General features: G+C 36.8%; 2 long non-coding RNA genes across 3 annotated transcripts in view; one reads left to right on the forward strand and one right to left on the reverse strand.

Annotated features, from left to right (window-relative positions):
* The window catches only part of LINC03092 (long intergenic non-protein coding RNA 3092), a 29,891-nt gene that overhangs the window by 6,236 nt on the left and 5,891 nt on the right, over positions 1 to 17,764 (forward strand). Inside the window, exon 2 of one of the 2 annotated variants that reach the window (XR_001753453.3) lies at positions 15,282 to 15,333. The exons of the other annotated variant lie outside the window; for it this stretch is intronic. This is a non-coding gene — a long non-coding RNA (long intergenic non-protein coding RNA 3092). The remainder of the gene's footprint in view (positions 1 to 15,281; positions 15,334 to 17,764) is intronic. 2 annotated transcript variants of the gene reach the window in all.
* LINC03069 (long intergenic non-protein coding RNA 3069) overlaps positions 1,167 to 17,764 on the reverse strand; it is a 187,650-nt gene continuing 171,052 nt past the window's right edge. The window contains exon 9 of the long non-coding RNA NR_148972.1: positions 1,167 to 1,458. This is a non-coding gene — a long non-coding RNA (long intergenic non-protein coding RNA 3069). The remainder of the gene's footprint in view (positions 1,459 to 17,764) is intronic.

Genomic DNA, 17,764 nt, shown 5'->3' on the forward strand with positions numbered 1-17,764 from the left:
CTCTCCAGCACCTTGGGAAGACCATAAGGCTGATTGTTAGTGGAGTCTTCCAAAGAATTTGGAGTCTTCCAAACTTTATTTTCAAAAATGGCCCTCCTTTTTCTTTTTCTTTTTTTCTTTGAGACGGAGTCTCGCTCTTGTCACCCAGGCTGGAGCTATCTCAGCTCACTGCAACCTCTGCCTCCCAGGTTCAAGTGATTCCCCTGCCTCAGCCTCCAGAGTAGCTGGGATTACAGGCGCCTGCCAGCACGCCCAGCTAATGTTTTGTATTTTTAGTAGAGACAGGGTTTCACCATGTTGGTCAGGCTGGTCTTGAACTCCTGACCTCAGGTGATCTGCCCGCCTAGGCCTCCCAAAATGTTGGGACTATGGCCATGAGCCACCGCACCGGCTGGCCCTACTTTCTATTCCCAAAATGGATTCCCTTTCTACTCCAAAAATGGCCCTACATGGGCCCACTCCAAGAGCAGGAGGCTGTTGAGAAAGTTTTATTGAGAGCTAAAGCCCAACATTGCAAGGTGCACTTGTTTAGAATTCTTTCCCCCAAATTATTCTGGGCTGATTTGGAGATTCTCTTGCTTCCCTCTGTGTCCTAGACTCTTCTGACTATAGGACAAAAGCCACAGTGCAGGGTGTGTGGCTGAGATGTGCATGATTGTGGAGGGCACTGATTTGAGAATGCTATGCCAATGAGGGGATAGTCTCAGGGTGTGTCCTGTGATCCTGAATGGAAGCCTCAGTAAGAGACAATGAAGGGATTCATCTCTCTACTGCCACATACAATGGTGCTTTTCAGCTTTGTGGCCTTAATTAGCAGTAGCTAATTAATGCTCAAACACCTTGGTGGGGATTGGGAGAGAGGAAACTGAACTAGAGAACAAAGTGGTTGTCTAAAGCCCCTAAGGGAGTAGGGAGGGGATTATGTCCCAAGGTTTCTGGCTTCCTGCTGCTCCCTGTGAGACAGTGTCCCTAATTCCTGCATGGTGGCTTTGGTACAAGTCCTACTGTCTTATTCAAGTCCCTGTAATAAAGTTGTGTTCTGGAGGGGAAAAGCATGGCTTTTATATTTCTCTCTGTTTGCTCTCATGTCAAGCCAGGAGCACTGGAGCAGCCATACTACTCAGGAAATCCTTCTTTTGCTCAGCAACTGAGAACACATTTGGTATGCTTGCCTTTTCTCCTTGTTTATTTTCAGGGTAGTGATAAAAGCACGGAAAAAAAACATGAGGGAAAATCAGTAAATTTCAGTACTATTTCAATACATCTGCAAAGGGCAAACTGTTTAGAATTTCTCTTGCCCCGTCTGAAGTTGGAAACTCTCACCACAGCGGGAAACACAACTATTTTGACTTGGCAAACCAAACCAGACAGCATGCACCTGCAACTATGCGTCCCTGACGCGAGTAGCTGTGGCCAGAGGGTCAGTCTGTTCTCAGTTTTTCATCCAGAAACCACATTCTGCAAATGGAGAGAAAACCACTGTTGGATTAAAGGAAATCCTTGCCATAGAGACTAAGCACACAACTTTAATTAACTCATCATTTTCTAATTAGCATCCCCAGAGCCCTGTGCCTGGGCAGCTTATGTTGCAGAATGTGCCATCAAGCTTTTCCAAACAGCTTTATAAAATAAAGTTTTGTTTTCACAAACATTTCTTTTAAAAAGTTTGGAAAATGGAGGAAAACATTTGAGAAAAGGGTAAACCACCCAAAAGTCATTCATATAAAATCACTTAATGATTTTGGTCTATTTGTTTAGAGTCATTGTATGTATTTTAACTCAACATAGTTGAGACTATATCATATAGAGAAGGGCCTTTCTCTATTTTTTCATTTAATATCTTGTGCAGGCATTCATTTTAGTACAAAATTGTTATCAGTAATAACAATTACTGATATATCAGCATATTGTACTTAGTAGAAGTACTGTAACATTTAACCATTGTTGCTACTTACATTCAAAGTGAACTTTAGAATTAAGTTTCTAGAATTCCTTATAACATTTTAACTTAGAAATTTCATTCAACTTAGGAACTTAACGTTAACCAGTTAATTTCACCACTAAAAAACACACAGACTGTCACATCACAGATTCATTTTTTTTCTATTAACATTATCACCTTGTCTTGCTTATTGTTTTTAAGTGCATAGATACGTGACTTTATTCTCATTTTTAAAAAATGGCTTAAGAAAGAAAAACACTATTTATGCCAGTAAATTCTCCTCTGGCAGACATTTAGGTCAATTTAAAATTTTTACTATGATAAAAAATGGTACCAAAAATTTGTGAAGATACCTTTACACTTATTTGCAAGTATTTCTCCAAGATAAGCTCATGGAATGTGGATGAAAGGGTATCCATAATTTCAATTTTGATAGTTCCTGCCAAGTTGTCCTTAAGTAAGACTGCACCAGTTTACACTTCTATTAACAGTGAATGATAAATTTCTGTTTTCTCACACTGGATGCTATGAAAATTTAAAATATTTGCCAGTCTGGTGAAAAGTACAATTTCAATGCTGTTTTAATTTGTATTTCCCTAATTACAGTGAAGTGGAACATATTTTCCAATGTTTGTGACCATGTGTATTTCTTCTTTGAATTGCCTCTTCGTACTCATTTCTTAATTTTAAGTTGAGCCTACTTTACTTTATATCTTTATATATTGTATATATTAAGCCTTTGTCTGCTATATGCTGTGCAAATGTTTTCTCTCAAGCTCTTCCTTCTCTTTTAACATTGTTTTACCATCTTGCCTTGTTAAGAGGTTATTCACTTTTATGTGGTACTATCATAGTTTTCATTTTTATCTTCTGATTTTCCTCTAATTTTCTATTCTGTAACAATATAGATTAACAACGTTTAAACTTTTAATCTATGTAGAATTTAACTTTTCTGTATGGTGGAGGGAAACATCTTAAGTTTTTTTTTTTTCTATAGAGTATCCTGTTGTCCCAGTTCTAATAAATGAATTGTCTATTACTGTCTAGAAATGTCTTCATGGCCATATCCTAGAACTGTGTGTGTGTGTGTGTGTGTGTGTGTATGTGTGCACATATATACATATTCTTAAACTTTATTTTGTCCAAGATCTAATGTAACATTGTATTTATTACTGTTTATATAATGCTCTGATAACTGGTAGGGAAAATCTATTTTAACTATTATTTTTCAAAAATTTCACAGCCAATCTTTTGTTTTTTCTCTTTCAAATGAACAGTATAATTGGCTCATAGAGCTCCTTTAAAAATATTTCTTTTGAGATTTGGATTGGGGTGTTCCGTATTTTATGTTATTTTTGGGGAAATTGACCTCTTTATAATATTGTCTTTCCATCAAGGCACATAGTGTGTCTTTTCACTAGTCAGGTCATCTTCAAGTTCCCACAATAAAGTTTTATATTTCTCTTCATACAGGTCTTGCATACTTCTCATTAGATTTATTTCTAGGTATGTTAAAGTTCTATAGTGATAATGAATTACATCTTGTTTTTTCATGTCTTTTAAAAATTGCATATTGTTTGTGCATTGACACTGTGACATGGACCTTGCATTGGATTTGGAGAGAGACATCTAATAATTTTTCAGTTGATTCTTTCAAAATTTTGATAGATCATCATACACTTGAATGTAACGTTAAATTAGTTCCTTTAATTGCTTTCTCATTCTTTTTATTTTCTTATTGCATTTGCTAGTTTGCTAGCATAATGTCAATTTATAATAGTAATAGCAGGCAACTTTGCTTTTATTGATACTTCAAGGAAGATTATAAACAAATACGATGATAATGCTTGCTTTAGATTTCTGGTAATTATATGTATTAGGATATAGATGTAATTGCTATAATAGAAAAATCCCAAATAATAGTGTTTCACATTAACAGCCTGGGAGTAAGCAGTGCTGGGTGGTCTAGTAGCTTACCTATGCCATTATCAGGGTCTCAGTATCTTTCTATCTTGCTGCTGTGTTCTAGAAAATACAGAGCTTCTATTTCATGACCTCATAGGGCCATTCCAGCTACCACCATCATTTCTGTGTTTCAGACATCAGGAAGAAAGAAATACAAAAGGAGGGTACAGTCCTTCTTTTTAAGGGCACAGCCCAGAATTTGCACTCATCACTTTTACTCACATCCTATTGAACAGAACCTAATTTCATGGGAACACTTCTGTGCAAGGGAGGCTAGGAAATGTGATTTTCTGTTGAGCAACAAATGTGATTTTTAGTCTTATGTTTGGCTAAAAATCTTCCCACCATGGAAGGGAGGGAGAATAGACACTGGGGAAATTAACAATTGTTATCACATTATATTTATTCATTTTAGGGAATCTTTCTTCTATTCCTCAGACAGTGAGAGCTTTTACTGGAAATTTATCAAATACATTTTTTAGTATTTACTAAGATTATCATAATTTTCCCTCTCAAAATCTGTCAATATTGACTTATAGGTGGAGAAATCATAATTAAAACATTTAGTTTGGGATAAAATACTATTAGAAGATGACTTTTATATATCATTCTTTCAAAGACATGTCATATTTGACATTCATTCTTTTATTTCTTTTCTTTCTTTTTAAAATTCAAGCTATTTTTCTATCCAGGCATCTACTTAAAGGTAAATTATTGTCCATTTATTATCAGTTATTTAAAGTTTGGTAGAACAAAATCCTAAAACTGCTTAGGCTGATATCCTTTTCAAGGAGAGAACTTTGTCAAATTTTTTCATTATTTCCCCTCTCTGTTTAATGGATTATTTAGTGTTTTCACCTCATTTTAGTTAATTAGATAATTGATATTTTCTATTTTCTTATAGTCAAATAGGCCAATGTTTTCCATAATTTTCTGACTTTATTATCTTATTTTGAAAGCGCAACCCTTGCTTAAGTAGTCAACAATGCATGTGTGTATGAGCATTCACTTTTAACACTTTAATTCTTCTGAGATTTATTTTGGTGCATGAGTAACCTAGAAATTTTAATTTTCTTCTAAATGGCTACCTAACTGTGACAATGGCATACATTGATTAATCCATCATTTGCAACTGAATTCAAATTCCTAATTTAATTTATGTTAATTTCTTATATCTCTACATTAGTTTATTTCAAAAAGACTATTTGATCTGTTTCATTGATCTATTCTAGGATGAAAGTTACATATTAAATACTCTTAAATCTTATAGTTTTATAATTTACTTTATAATCTGACAGGGCAAATCCTTTAAAAACTTCTTGGCTCTAACAAGTTTATTTTTCTAGATTAACTTTAGGATAAGTTGGCCAATTAAAATATTCTAAGAGGTTTTGATTAGAACTGCATAAAAATCAAACATTAAATTTGTGGAAAAACAGACATTTTTATAATATTGAATGCTCCAACCCAGGAATATGGGTTCCTGGATTGAATCTCACCATCTCTTTAGGCCTGTGCTATGTACCTCAATAAAGTATTACAATTTTTCTCATAGAGGGCCTGCGTTTTTTGGTTAATTTAATTTCTAGGTTACATATATGTATGTCTAAAGTAAATGGAATACTTTTTCATTATATTTAATTGGGATATTTAGTATTTCTTACATTAAAGCCATCAATATTTGTATATTTTGGGACCAGCCACCTTACTAAGAGGCCTTAGTAGTTTTTCTAGTTTTCTTCTTGAGATTTCCAAGCGGGCAGCAGCATTTTTCTTGTGATGTATTATATTAGATTTTCATTCTTCCTTTCCTTGAATAAGCCAGGTTCTTTAGTTTACAATTATGATTATTTAAAGCAAAACAGAGTTCATTTACAGCATCAAAGACTAGAGATAGGCCAGGACCATGATGAGTCAAGTGAAGCAGTTTCCTCAGATGCCAAATTTAAGGGATGTCAAAAAGCTCACTAATCAAGATAAATAATGTTTTAATGCAATAGTTTGTGTTTTAAATGAATGTGAAAAAAATCCATGATGAAGCAAATACCAAAAATTTAAATATGGGTAAGTTTAGCTAGGAGAACTGGGCTCAGAAAAGCCAGGAGCCAGCAGATGTGGAGATGTCAGTAGCAGCTCTCAGTGACAACTGTACTTATACATGCTGCCCATGGGATGAATCAGCTTTGAGAATGAGAGTGATTGGCATCCTTGGCTAAGGAGAGGGCAGGATTCTTTGATTAACTGTCCCAGACTCCACATGTTAGGGGAAGGTGATTTTCCAAAAGGAAACAGGCTCACAGTTGTCAAAAACAATGATTGTCTACCATGTTGCAGTCCCACGATGCATTTTCTACATTGACCCCATCTCCAGCTCCAACTGCTGTCCTCCACATGTTAGGGCCACACCTCTGAAGAGGCCACATGCCAATGTGCCAACTCTCCTTTGCTTCCTGCTATACTTTTTACTCAAAGCTGCAACCTTCATATGGAGACAGCATAAAAGATATTGATGAAGAAACTCTGGTGGCTTCAAAGAGCACTCTCTGTTGAAAAGGAAATGGCAGTCAAAGCCCTGTTTTGAAAAAACACTAGGTGTCCGTACTTGGGAGGGGACCTCATGGAAAGGCTGGAAACTCTTTCTGAAGAGATTGTTCTGCCTCAAGAGAAGTATGTTTTGGCCACTGATTGTTTCTCAGGCAAATTTAATAGGCTGCATTAGACTGATGAGAATGCTTCCCAAAAGAATTAACTACTCAAACTTAACTTATATATCTTCACAGGCATTTAATGAAAATTTAAATGAATTATATTTGATACAATTATTGATAAGATAGGTTTTACATCTACTATTTAAAATTTGTTTTCTATGTCTTTTATGTCTTTTTTGTTCATCTATTCTTTCATTACTGCCTTCTTTTGTGTTAAATAGATATTTTCTGATATACCCTATTATCTTATTTCTTTTGCTCTATATTTTAAATTTACTTTCTTACTGGTTGTCCTGAGGCCTACCATTAACATTTTAACTTAAGACAATTAGTTTGAATTAATACTTAATTTCAATTGTATACAAAAGTTTGCTCAGGACTCAGGACTCAGCTGTGAATCTCATTAGGGATCCCTTGTCCCTGATGAGATGCTTTTCTCTTGCTTCTTTCATTCTCTTTGTCTTTGGACAGTTTGACTGTGGGTTGGTTGCCTAGATATAAATCTCTTTAGATGTATCCTACTTAAAGTTCATTCAGTTTTTCCTCGGTTTTGCCTGTCATGTAGAACCCTGCCCTGACTCTCCCTCACTCACTAATACTGCCTAGAGGCAGATTTCCCTCCTATGACTTCAGCAATGCTTTGCTTCTGAGAAATGCATTCTTTGGCAATTTTACTGTTGTATGATCATAGATTGTATTCCAAACCTAGATGGTGTAGCCTACCACACACTTGGGATATATGGTATAGCCTACTATTTCTAGGCTAGAGATCCATATAGCCTGTTACTGTATTGAATACTACATTAGTCCATTTTCATGCTGCTGATAAAGACATGCCTGAGACTGGGTAATTTAGAAAGGAAACAGGTTTAATTGACTCACAATTCCACGTGGCTGGGGAGGCCTCACAATCATGGCAGGAGGCAAGGAGGAGCAAAGTAATGTCTTTCATGGATGGTGGAAGGCAAAGAGAGAGTTTGTGTAGAGGAACTCTCCCTTATAAAACCATCAGATCTCATAAGACTTATTCACTACCATGAGAACAGCACGGGAAAGACCTGCCCCCATGATTGAATTAACTCCCACCCCGTCCCTCCCACAGCATGTGGGAATTCAAGATGAGAATTGGGTGGGGACACAGCCAAACCATATCGAATACTGTAGGCAATTTCAACACATATTTGAGTATCTAAATATAGAAAAGATACAGTAAAAATGTGGTATAAAAGATTAAAAAATGATAAAGCTATATAGAGCAATTACCATGAATGGAGCCTGCAGGATGGAAGTTGCCTGGGTGAGTCAATGAGTGAGTGATGAAGGGCTAGGACATTACTGTGCACTACTGTAGACTTTATAAACATTGTGCACTTAGGCTACACTAATTTATAGAAAAACTTTTCTTCAATAATAAATTAATCTTAGCTTATTGTAATGTTTTACTTTATAATTTTTTTAAATTTCTATTGTTTTTTTTTTGAAAGAAAGAAGTAAAACTGTTTTTATTTTATTTGTATTATACTTTAAGTTCTGGGGTACACGTGCAGAACATTCAGGTTTGTTACATAGGTATACATCTGCCATGGTAGATTGCTGCACCCATCAACCTGTCATCTGCATTAGGTATTTCTCCTAATGCTGTCCCTCCCCTCGCCCCCCATCCCCTGACAGGCCCCGGTGTGAGATGTTCCCCTCGCTGTGCCCATATGTTCTCATTGGTCAACTCCCACTTAGGAGTGAGAACATGTGGTGTTTGGTTTTCTGTTCTTGTGTTAGTTTGCTGAGAATGATGGTTTCCAGCTTCATCCATGTCCCTGCAAAGGACATGAACTCATTCTTTTTTATGGCTGCATAGTATTCCATGGTGTATATGTACCACATTTTCTTTATCCAGTCTAACATTGTTGGGCATTTGAGATGGTTCCAAGTCTTTGCTATTGTGAATAGTGCTGCAGTAAACATACGTGTGCATGTGTCTTTATAGTAGAATGATTTATAATCCTTTGGGTATATACCCAGTAATGGGATTGCTGGGTCAAACAGTATTTACAGTTCTAGATCCTTGAGAAATCACTACACTGTCTTCCACAATGGTTGAACTAATTTATATTTTCACCAACAGTGAAAAAGCATTCCTATTTCTCCACATCCTTTCCAGCATCTGTTTTTTCTTGACTTTTTAATGATCACCATTCTAACTGGTGTGAGATGGTATCTCATTGTGGTTTTGATTTGCATTTGTCTAATGACCAACGATGATGAGCTTTTTTTCATATGTTTGTTGGCTGCATAAATGTCTTCTTTTGAAAAGTGTCTGTTTATATCCCTCACCCACTTTTTGATGAGGTTGTTTGCTTTTTTCTTGTAAATTTGTTTAAGTTCCTTGTAGATTCTGGATATTAGCCTTTTGTCAGATGGATGGATTGCAAAAATGTTCTCCCATTCTGTAGGTTGGCTGTTCACTCTGATGACAATTTCTTTCACTGTGCAGAAGCTCTTTAGTTTAATTAGATTCATTTGTCCTTTTTGAATTTTGTTGCAATTGCTTTTGGTGTTTTAGTCATGAAGTCTTTGCCCATGCCTACGTCCTGAATGGTATTGGCTAGGTTTTCTTCTAGGGTTTTTTATGGTTTTAGGTCTTATGTTTAAGTCTTTAATCCATCTTGAGTTAATTTTCGTGTAAGCTAGAAGGAAGGTGTCCAGTTTCAGTTTTCTGGATGTGGCTAGCCAGTTTTCCCAACACCATTTATTAAATAGGGAATCCTTTCCCCATTGCTTGTTTTTGTCAGGTTTGTCAAAGGTCGGATGGTTGAAGATGTGTGGTATTATTTCTGAGGCCTCTGTTCTGTTCCATTGGCCTATATGTCTGTTTTGGTACTAGTACCATGCTGTTTTGGTTATGGTAGCCTTGTAGTATAGTTTGAAGTCAAGTAGCATGATGCCTCCAGCTTTGTTCTTTTTGCTTAGGAATGTCTTGGCCATATGGGCTCTTTTTTGGTTCCATATGAAATTTAAAGTAGTTTTATCTAATTCAGTGAAGAAAGCCAATGGTAACTTGATGGGAATAGCATTGAATCTATTAATTACTTTGGGCAGTATGGTCATTTTCATGATACTGATTATTCCTATCCAAGAGCATGTAATGTTTTTCCATTTGTTTGTGTCCTCTCTTATTTCCTTGAGCAGTGGTTTGTAGTTCTTGAAGAGGTCCTTCACATCCCTTGTAAGTTGTATTCCTGGGTGTTTTATTCTCTTTGTAGCAATTGTGAATGGGAGTTTGCTCATGATTTGGCTCTCTGTTTTCCTATTATTGGTGTATAGGAATCCTTGTGATTTTTGTACATTGATTTTGTATCCTGAGACTTTGCTGAATTTGCTTATTAGCTTAAGGAGTTTTTGGGCTGAGACAATGGGGTTTTCTAAATATACAATCATGACATCTGCAAACAAAGACAATTTGACTTCTTCTCTCCCTATTTGAATACCTTTATTTCTTTCTCTTGCCTGATTGCCCTGGCCAGAACTTCCAATTCTGTGTTGAATAGGAGTGGTGAGAGAGGGCATCCTTGTTTTTTGCCAGTTTTCAAAGGGAATGCTTCCAGATTTTGCCCATTCAGTATGATATCGGCTGTGGGTTTGTCATAAATAGCTCTTATTGTTTTGAGATACGTTCCATCGATACCTAGTTTATTGAGTGTTTTTAGCATGAAGGGGTATTGAATTTTATTGGAGGTTTTTTCTGCATCTATTGAGATAATCATGTGGTTTTTGTCATTGGTTCTGTTTATGTGATGGATTACATTTATTGATTTGCGTATGTTGAACCAGCCTTGCATCCCAGGAATGAAGCCAACTTGATTGTGGTGAATAAGCTTTTTAATGTGCTGCTGGATTTGGTATGCCAGTATTTTATTGAGGATTTTCGCATCGACGTTCATCAGGGATATCAGCCTGAAATTTTCTTGTTTTGTTGTGTCTCTGCCAGGTTTTGGTATTAGGATGATGCTGGCCTCATAAAATGAGTTAGGGAGGAGTCCCTCATTTTGGATTGTTTGTAATAGTTTCAGACGGAATGGTACCAGCTCCTCTTTGTACTTCTGGTAGAATTCGGCTGTGAATCCATCTGGTCCTAGGCTTTTTTTGGTTGGTAAAATATTAATTACTGTGTCAATTTCAGAACTTGTTATTGGTCTGTTCAGGGATTTGATTTCTTCCTGGTTTAGTCTTGGGAGGGTTTATGGGTTGAGGAATTTATCCATTGCTTCTAGAATTTCTAGTTTATTTGCATAGAGGTGTTTATAGTATTTTCTGATGGTAGTTTGTATTTCTGTGGGATCAGAGGTGATCTCCCCTTTATCACTTTTTATTGTATCTATTTGATTCTTCTCTCTTTTCTTCTTTATTAGTCTGGCTAGTGGTCTAACTATTTTGTTAATCGTTTCAAAAAACCAGCTCCTGGATTCATTGATTTTTTTTTGAAGGATTTTTCGTGTCTCTGTCTCCTTCAGTTCTGCTCTAATCTTAGTTATTTCTTGTCTTCTGCTAGCTTTTGAATGTGTTTGTTCTTGCTTCCCTATTTCTAATTGTGATTGGGTGTTGATTTTAGCTCTTTCCCGCTTTCTTCTGTGGGCATTTAGTGCTATTAATTCCCCGCTAAACACTGCTTTAGCTTTGTCCCAGAGATTCTGGCACATTGTGTCTTGCTTCTCATTGGTTTCAAAGAACTTATTTATTTCCGTCTTAATTTTGTAATTGACCCAGTAGTCATTCAGGAGCAGGTTGTTTAGTTTCCATGTAGTTGTATGGTTTTGAGTGAGTTTCTTAATCCTGAGTTCTAATTTGATTGCACTGTGGTTTGAGAGACTGTTTATTATGATTTCTATTCTTTCTCATTGGCTGAAGAATGTTTTACTTCCAATTATGTGGTTGATTTTATGTGGTGCCAAGAAGAATGTATATTTTGTTTATTTGGAGTGGAGAGTTCTGTAGATGTCTATTAGGTCCACTTGGTCCAGAGCTGAATTGAAATCCTGAATATCTGTGTTAATTTTCTGTCTCATTGATCTGTCTAATATTGATAGTGGGGTGTTAAAGTCTCCCACTATTATTGTGTGGGAGTCTAAGTCTCTTTATAGTTCTCTAAGAACTTGCTTTATGAATCTGGGTGCTCCTGTATTAGGTGCATGTATATTTAACATAGTTAGCTCTTTTTGTTGTATTGATCCCTTTACCATTATGCAATGCCCTTCTTTGTCTTTTTTGATCTTTGTTGGTTTAAAGTCTGTTTTATCAGAGACTAGAATTGCAACCCCTGCTTTTTTTTGCTTTGTGTTTGCTTGGTAAATCTTCCTCCATCCCTTTATTTTGAGCCTATGTGTGTCTTTGCATGTGAGATGGGTCTCCTGAATACAGCACACCAGTGGGTCTTGACTCTATCCAATTTGCCAGTCTGTGCCTTTTAATTGGGGCATTTTGCCCATTTACATTTAAGGTTAATATTGTTATATGTGAATTTGAATTTGATCCTGTCATTATGATGCTAGCTGGTTATTTTGCCCATTAGTTAATGCAGTTTCTTCATAGTGTTGATGGTCTTTACATTTTGGTTTGCTTTTGCAGTGGCTGGTACCGGTTTTTCCTTTCCACATTTAGTGCTTCCTTTAGGAGCTCTTGTAAGGCAGGCCTGATGGTGACAAAATCCCTCAGCATTTGTTTGTCTGTAAAAGATTTTATTTCTCCTTCACTTATGAAGCTTAGTTTGGCTGGATATGAAATTCTGGGTTGAAAATTCTTTTCTTTAAGAATGTTGAATATTGGCCCCCACTCTATTCTGGCTTGTAGGGTTTCTTCAGAGAGATCTACTGTTAGTCTGATGGGCTTCCTTTTGTGGGTAACCCGACCTTTCTCTCTGGCTGCCTTTAACATTTTTTCCTTCATTTCAGCCTTGGTGAATCTGATGATTATGTGTCTTGGGGTTGCTCTTCTCAAGGAGTATCTTTGTGGTGTTCTCTGTATTTCCTGAATTTGAATGTTGGCCTGTCTTGCTATGTTGGGAAAATTCTCCTTGATAATAACCTGAAGAGTGTTTTCCAACTTGGTTCCATTCTCCCTGTCACTTTCAGGTACACCAGTCAAATGTAGGTTTGGTCTTTTCACATAGTCCCATATTTCTTGGAGTCTTTGCTCGTTCCTTTTCATTGTTTTTTCTCTAATCTTGCGTTCACACTTTAATTCATTAATTTGATCTTCAATCTCTGATATCCTTTCTTCCACTTGATTGATTCAGGTATTGATACTTGTGTATGCTTCATGAAGTTCTTGTGCTGTTTTTCAGCTCCATCAGGTCATTTATGTTCTTCTCTAAACTGGCTATTCTAGTTAGCAATTCCTCTAACCTTTTATGAAGGTTCTTACTTTCCTTGCATTGGGTTAGAACATGCTCTTTTAGCTCAGAGGGATTTGTTATTACCCACCTTCTGAAGCCTACTTCTGTCAATTGGTCAAACTCCTTCTCCATCCAATTTTGTTCCCTTGCTGGTGAGGAGTTGTGATCCTTTGGAGGAGAAGAGGCATTCTGCTTTTTGGAATTTTCAGCCTTTTTGCACCGGTTTTTCCTCATCTTCGTGGATTTATCTATCTTTGGTCTTTGCTGTTGGTGACCTTTGGATGGAGGTTTTGTGTGGTCATCCTTTTTGTTGATGTTGATGCTATTGCTTTCTGTTTGTTGGTTTTCCTTCTAACAGTCAGGCCCCTCTTCTTCAGGTCTGCTGGAGTTTGCTGGGGCTCCACTCCAGACCCTGTTTGCCTAGGTATCACCAGTGGAGGCTGCAGAACAGCAAAGATTGCTGCCTGCTCCTTCCTCTGGAAGATTTGTCCCAGAGGGGCACCCACCAGCTGCCAGCCAGAGCTCTCCTGTATGAGGTGTCTGTCGACCAATGCTGGGAGGTGTCTCCCTGTCAGGAGGCATGGGGGTCAGGGACCCACTACAGGAGTCAGTCTGCCCCTTAGCAGAGCTCAAGCACTGTGCTGGGAGATCCGCTACTCTCTTCCTAATTTCTATTGGTTTTGGGGCAATGGGTGGTGTTTGGTTGCATGAGTAAGTTCTTTACTGTTGATTTGTGAGATTTTGGTACACCCATCACACAAGCAGTATACACTGAACTCAGTTTATAGGCTTTTACCCATCACCCTCCCCCACCCTTCCCCCAAATCCATAAAGTACATTATATGATTCTTATGCATTTGCATCCTCATAGCTTAGCTCCCACTTACGAGTGAGAATGTATGATGTTTGGTTTTCCATTCCTGAGTTACTTCACTTAGAATAACGGTCTCCAATTCCATCCAGGTTGCTGTGAATGCCATTGTTTCATTCCTTTTATGGCTGAATAGTATTCCATGGTGCATATATATATATATATATATTCCACAATTTCTTTATCCACTCATTGACTCATGGGCATTTGGGCTATTTATTTATTTTTTTTACTTTTTGACTCTTTTGTAATAACGCTTAGCTTAAAACAAAAACACATGGTACAGCTGTGCAAAATATTTCTTTTTATCCTTGTTCTACATATTTTTCTATTAAAAATGTATTTATTTAAAAATTTTTTTTTTTTGTTAAAGACTGGGACACAAACACACACATTAGCCAAGGTCTACTCAGAGTCAGGGTCACCAGTATCACTGTTTTCTACCTCCACATCTTGTCCCACTGGGTCTTTAGCAGCAATAACATGCATGGAGCTGCCTTCTCTAAAATAAAGATTAAAATATAATATAGTAAATATGTAGACCAGTATTATCAAGTATTATGTACTGTACATAATTGTATGTGCTATGCTTTTACACAACTGGCAGTGCAGTAGTTTATTTATACCAGCATCACCACGGTCAATTGGGTAAGGTGTTGCACCATGACACTATAATGACTACAGTGTTTTTCAGCTTCATTATAATCTTATGAGAATGTGTAATGTGGTCAATTCTTGATGGAAACCTCTAAGGATAAAGAGGCAGAATACAACTGTGTTTCACGTATGCTTCTTGATAAAGTATTATTTGATATATAATGGTTTATGACTCATACACCTGATATAAAAATTATAATTTTTATCAGTATAAAGTTACCCTATTATTCTTATTCTGTGACTTTTCTCCTTTAAGACTGACATTTCCACTCTGACTCTCTTTTTCTTAGCCTTTTCTTGGGAATATCTCAGCTTTCCTTTAATTTCCAGTGTACCCAATCTATTTTGCTTTGTGTGTGTGTCTTTGGTGGAGAGAATATAATGGGGTTTTATTTTTATTACAACATGAATATTATGCCTTTCATTAGGAAATTCAATCCACTTTCAAGTGTTGAATTTATTTGTGTGTTTGCCACTGTAAGAGTGATTGTCTCATTGGAGACACTCAACAAATAAATATTAAATGAATGAACAATTTTTGATACTTTGATTTCCCTACTTTCTCTCTCTTCTATTAGTATAAATACATTTTAAATTTGCTCTTGTCTTATGAAGACATCTTGTTTATAATTTTACTATATATAGTAGTTAATTGTAGGTTTTAAAAATATATTTTATTTATGTGTATGTTCCTGAGGTTTATAAGTGCCTAGTCTTTAACCACAATTCTGAAATGTTTGATTGATTTTCAAGCCCACAACAGCCTATGAAGAATAACTAGAGGTCTTCATATCAGAGGCAGAAGGTAAGAATCTGCTGAATACAGCAGCAAAAGCCAGGATAGGTCATCTGTAAGGGTCTTATCTTTTAGCAATACAACTGGAGTTTATAAAACTAGCTTATCAAGAATAATCCATACAGGTTGGGCACGGTGGCTCACACCTGTAATCCCAGCACTTTGGGAGTCTGAAGTGGGTGAATCATTTGAGCCCAGGAGTTCAAGACCAGCCCAGTCAACATGGTGAAACCCCATCTCCACTAAAAATACAAAAATTAGCCAGGTGTGGTGGTGTGTGCCTGTAGTCTCAGCTACTTGGGAGGCTAAGGGAAGAGTGTGACCTAAGCCTGGGAGGCGGAGGCTGCATCGAGCTGAGATTGTGCCACTGCACTCCAGCCTGGGCAACAGAGCCAGACCTTGCCTCAAAAAAACAAAACAAACAAAACAAAAACAAAAAGAATAATCCATATAGTATGTTAGCAATGAAGGAATAATTGCATTGAGAATTTGCTTCCAAAATAAAATTTGAATGAAATATTTGGGAAGTTAAATGTGTCAGATACAATGATCTCAGTCATTCATTATGTAGAGTCCCTAATGTCTTTTTATACTATTTAAGTTACCTGTTTAGGTATCATTATTAGCTCCATGTGGACAGAAACTTGTTTTATACTAAGACATAAGTGACCTGATTCAGGCTGTATTATAATACATATTTCTAAACTACATCTTTTGCACCTACAAAAAATAGGGAGAATGTGAATACCTAGCAGAGTACTAATGTGGATTGTGATAAAAATTAAATGAAATAATCCATGTAAAAGCATTTGGCACAGGGCTTGGCATTCATCACCTCCACCACTTACTAGGTATGTGACCTCAAGACAGTTTCTTAACCTCTCAATGCCTCAGATTTATCATCCCTAGTATACGAATTATCATAGTACTTACCTCAGAGATTTAATATAAAGACCTTAGAGCAAAGCATGGTATAACTTAAGTTCCCAGTAAATGTGAGCTACTATTAGTATTTCAATGCAGGAAGGACCGCATTTATACTCTGGCAGAAACCATCAGAAAATAGTGTTCTTTTTGGACACAAATCAAGAAAACAATAGTTATAATGTGGCCCAAAGCAGGGAGATGGGATTGGGGCAGAAGACTGGTGTGCAGTCTGGGCCTACTCCTTGCCTGTGGAAACTTGGGTAGTCTTCAGTTTCTCATTTTGTATCACAGGGAAAAACACCTAATGCAGATTTGATATGCAAAACTTAAGAGTTACTGTGTATGAAAATGTTCTATAATGCGCTATATCAATGCTATTTAGTAGGAACTATTTTTGATCATTTTGATCATTTGACTGTTTTTATCATATTAGCACCTCCAATCCCATTAGCTTTCCTAACCCCATCAGCATTCAGAAATGGATTCTGTATCTTTGTCAGCATAACCATGATTTCCTTACTTTGCTATTCCTTGGATATATGTCATTAACCAGTCTGGGTACAATTAGTGCAAGGAGTAGAAATGAGACTATATTCTGTGAATTTCTAACTCTCCATTTTGGCAGAACAACTCTGGACCAGCCACTATAGCTGTCAGGGTGATTTATGATTGTTCTTCACCAAGCTGACAGCCGGTGGAGAAAAAGCTTCATGCAAGAAAAATTCCTTATATTTATTCTACCTAGTTTAATACCTGATGAACCACGTTATAAGAACAATTCTTAAAATAGCCTTGAGGAGAGCACCTCCACATTGCCCAGACATACAATTTATTATAGAAATACTGGTGGAGAATGGAGGGGAGATGGTGGTCATGCTGTGAACTTGACTGGCTTACGGACAAGACATTGGTTGGAAAGCTGGCAATAAAAAAAGCAGCCCAATGTACTTTAAATGCTAACTGGCACTCTTCTAGTTGCTCTCAATTTTTTTCTTACAGTAAGCCTTCCTCTTAGGTAATACTATTATCACATCAACATGATTATAAATAAGAATGGAGAATCAATCCAAGAAAGACACAGCATGACTACCTCCAAAGCCACTTAATTTGGAAATAGAAATGAAGAGGTGTACAGTTCATCCTCAGTAGGGTTGCCTATGCTTTGTGCCTTCCTGAAACTTTTAATCACTGGAGGCTGTCATAATCTTCCACATCCACACCGTCCATAAAGCATTTGTTACATATTGACTTATTTTGTATTGCTCTTTAAGGATATGCTATTTGTTCATCTTTTCTTCTCAACTAGATACGGTCTTTAACCTCTCCTATCTCTTCCTCTCAGCCTATAAATATACAAAAGTCTCATCAAAGAACAAACTGACCAACCAAACAAAACCATTCCCTTCACTTCCTGTCTGCTGTATTTACTTCCTTATCTGGTTGAGCCCTCCATTTCCTGAAAGAGCAGGTTACACTCATTGTCTCCGCTTGGCACTCTCTGTTCTCCTGGCTT

This window comes from Homo sapiens, chromosome 18, assembly GCF_000001405.40.
Source record: "Homo sapiens chromosome 18, GRCh38.p14 Primary Assembly".
Taxonomy (NCBI): domain Eukaryota; kingdom Metazoa; phylum Chordata; class Mammalia; order Primates; family Hominidae; genus Homo; species Homo sapiens.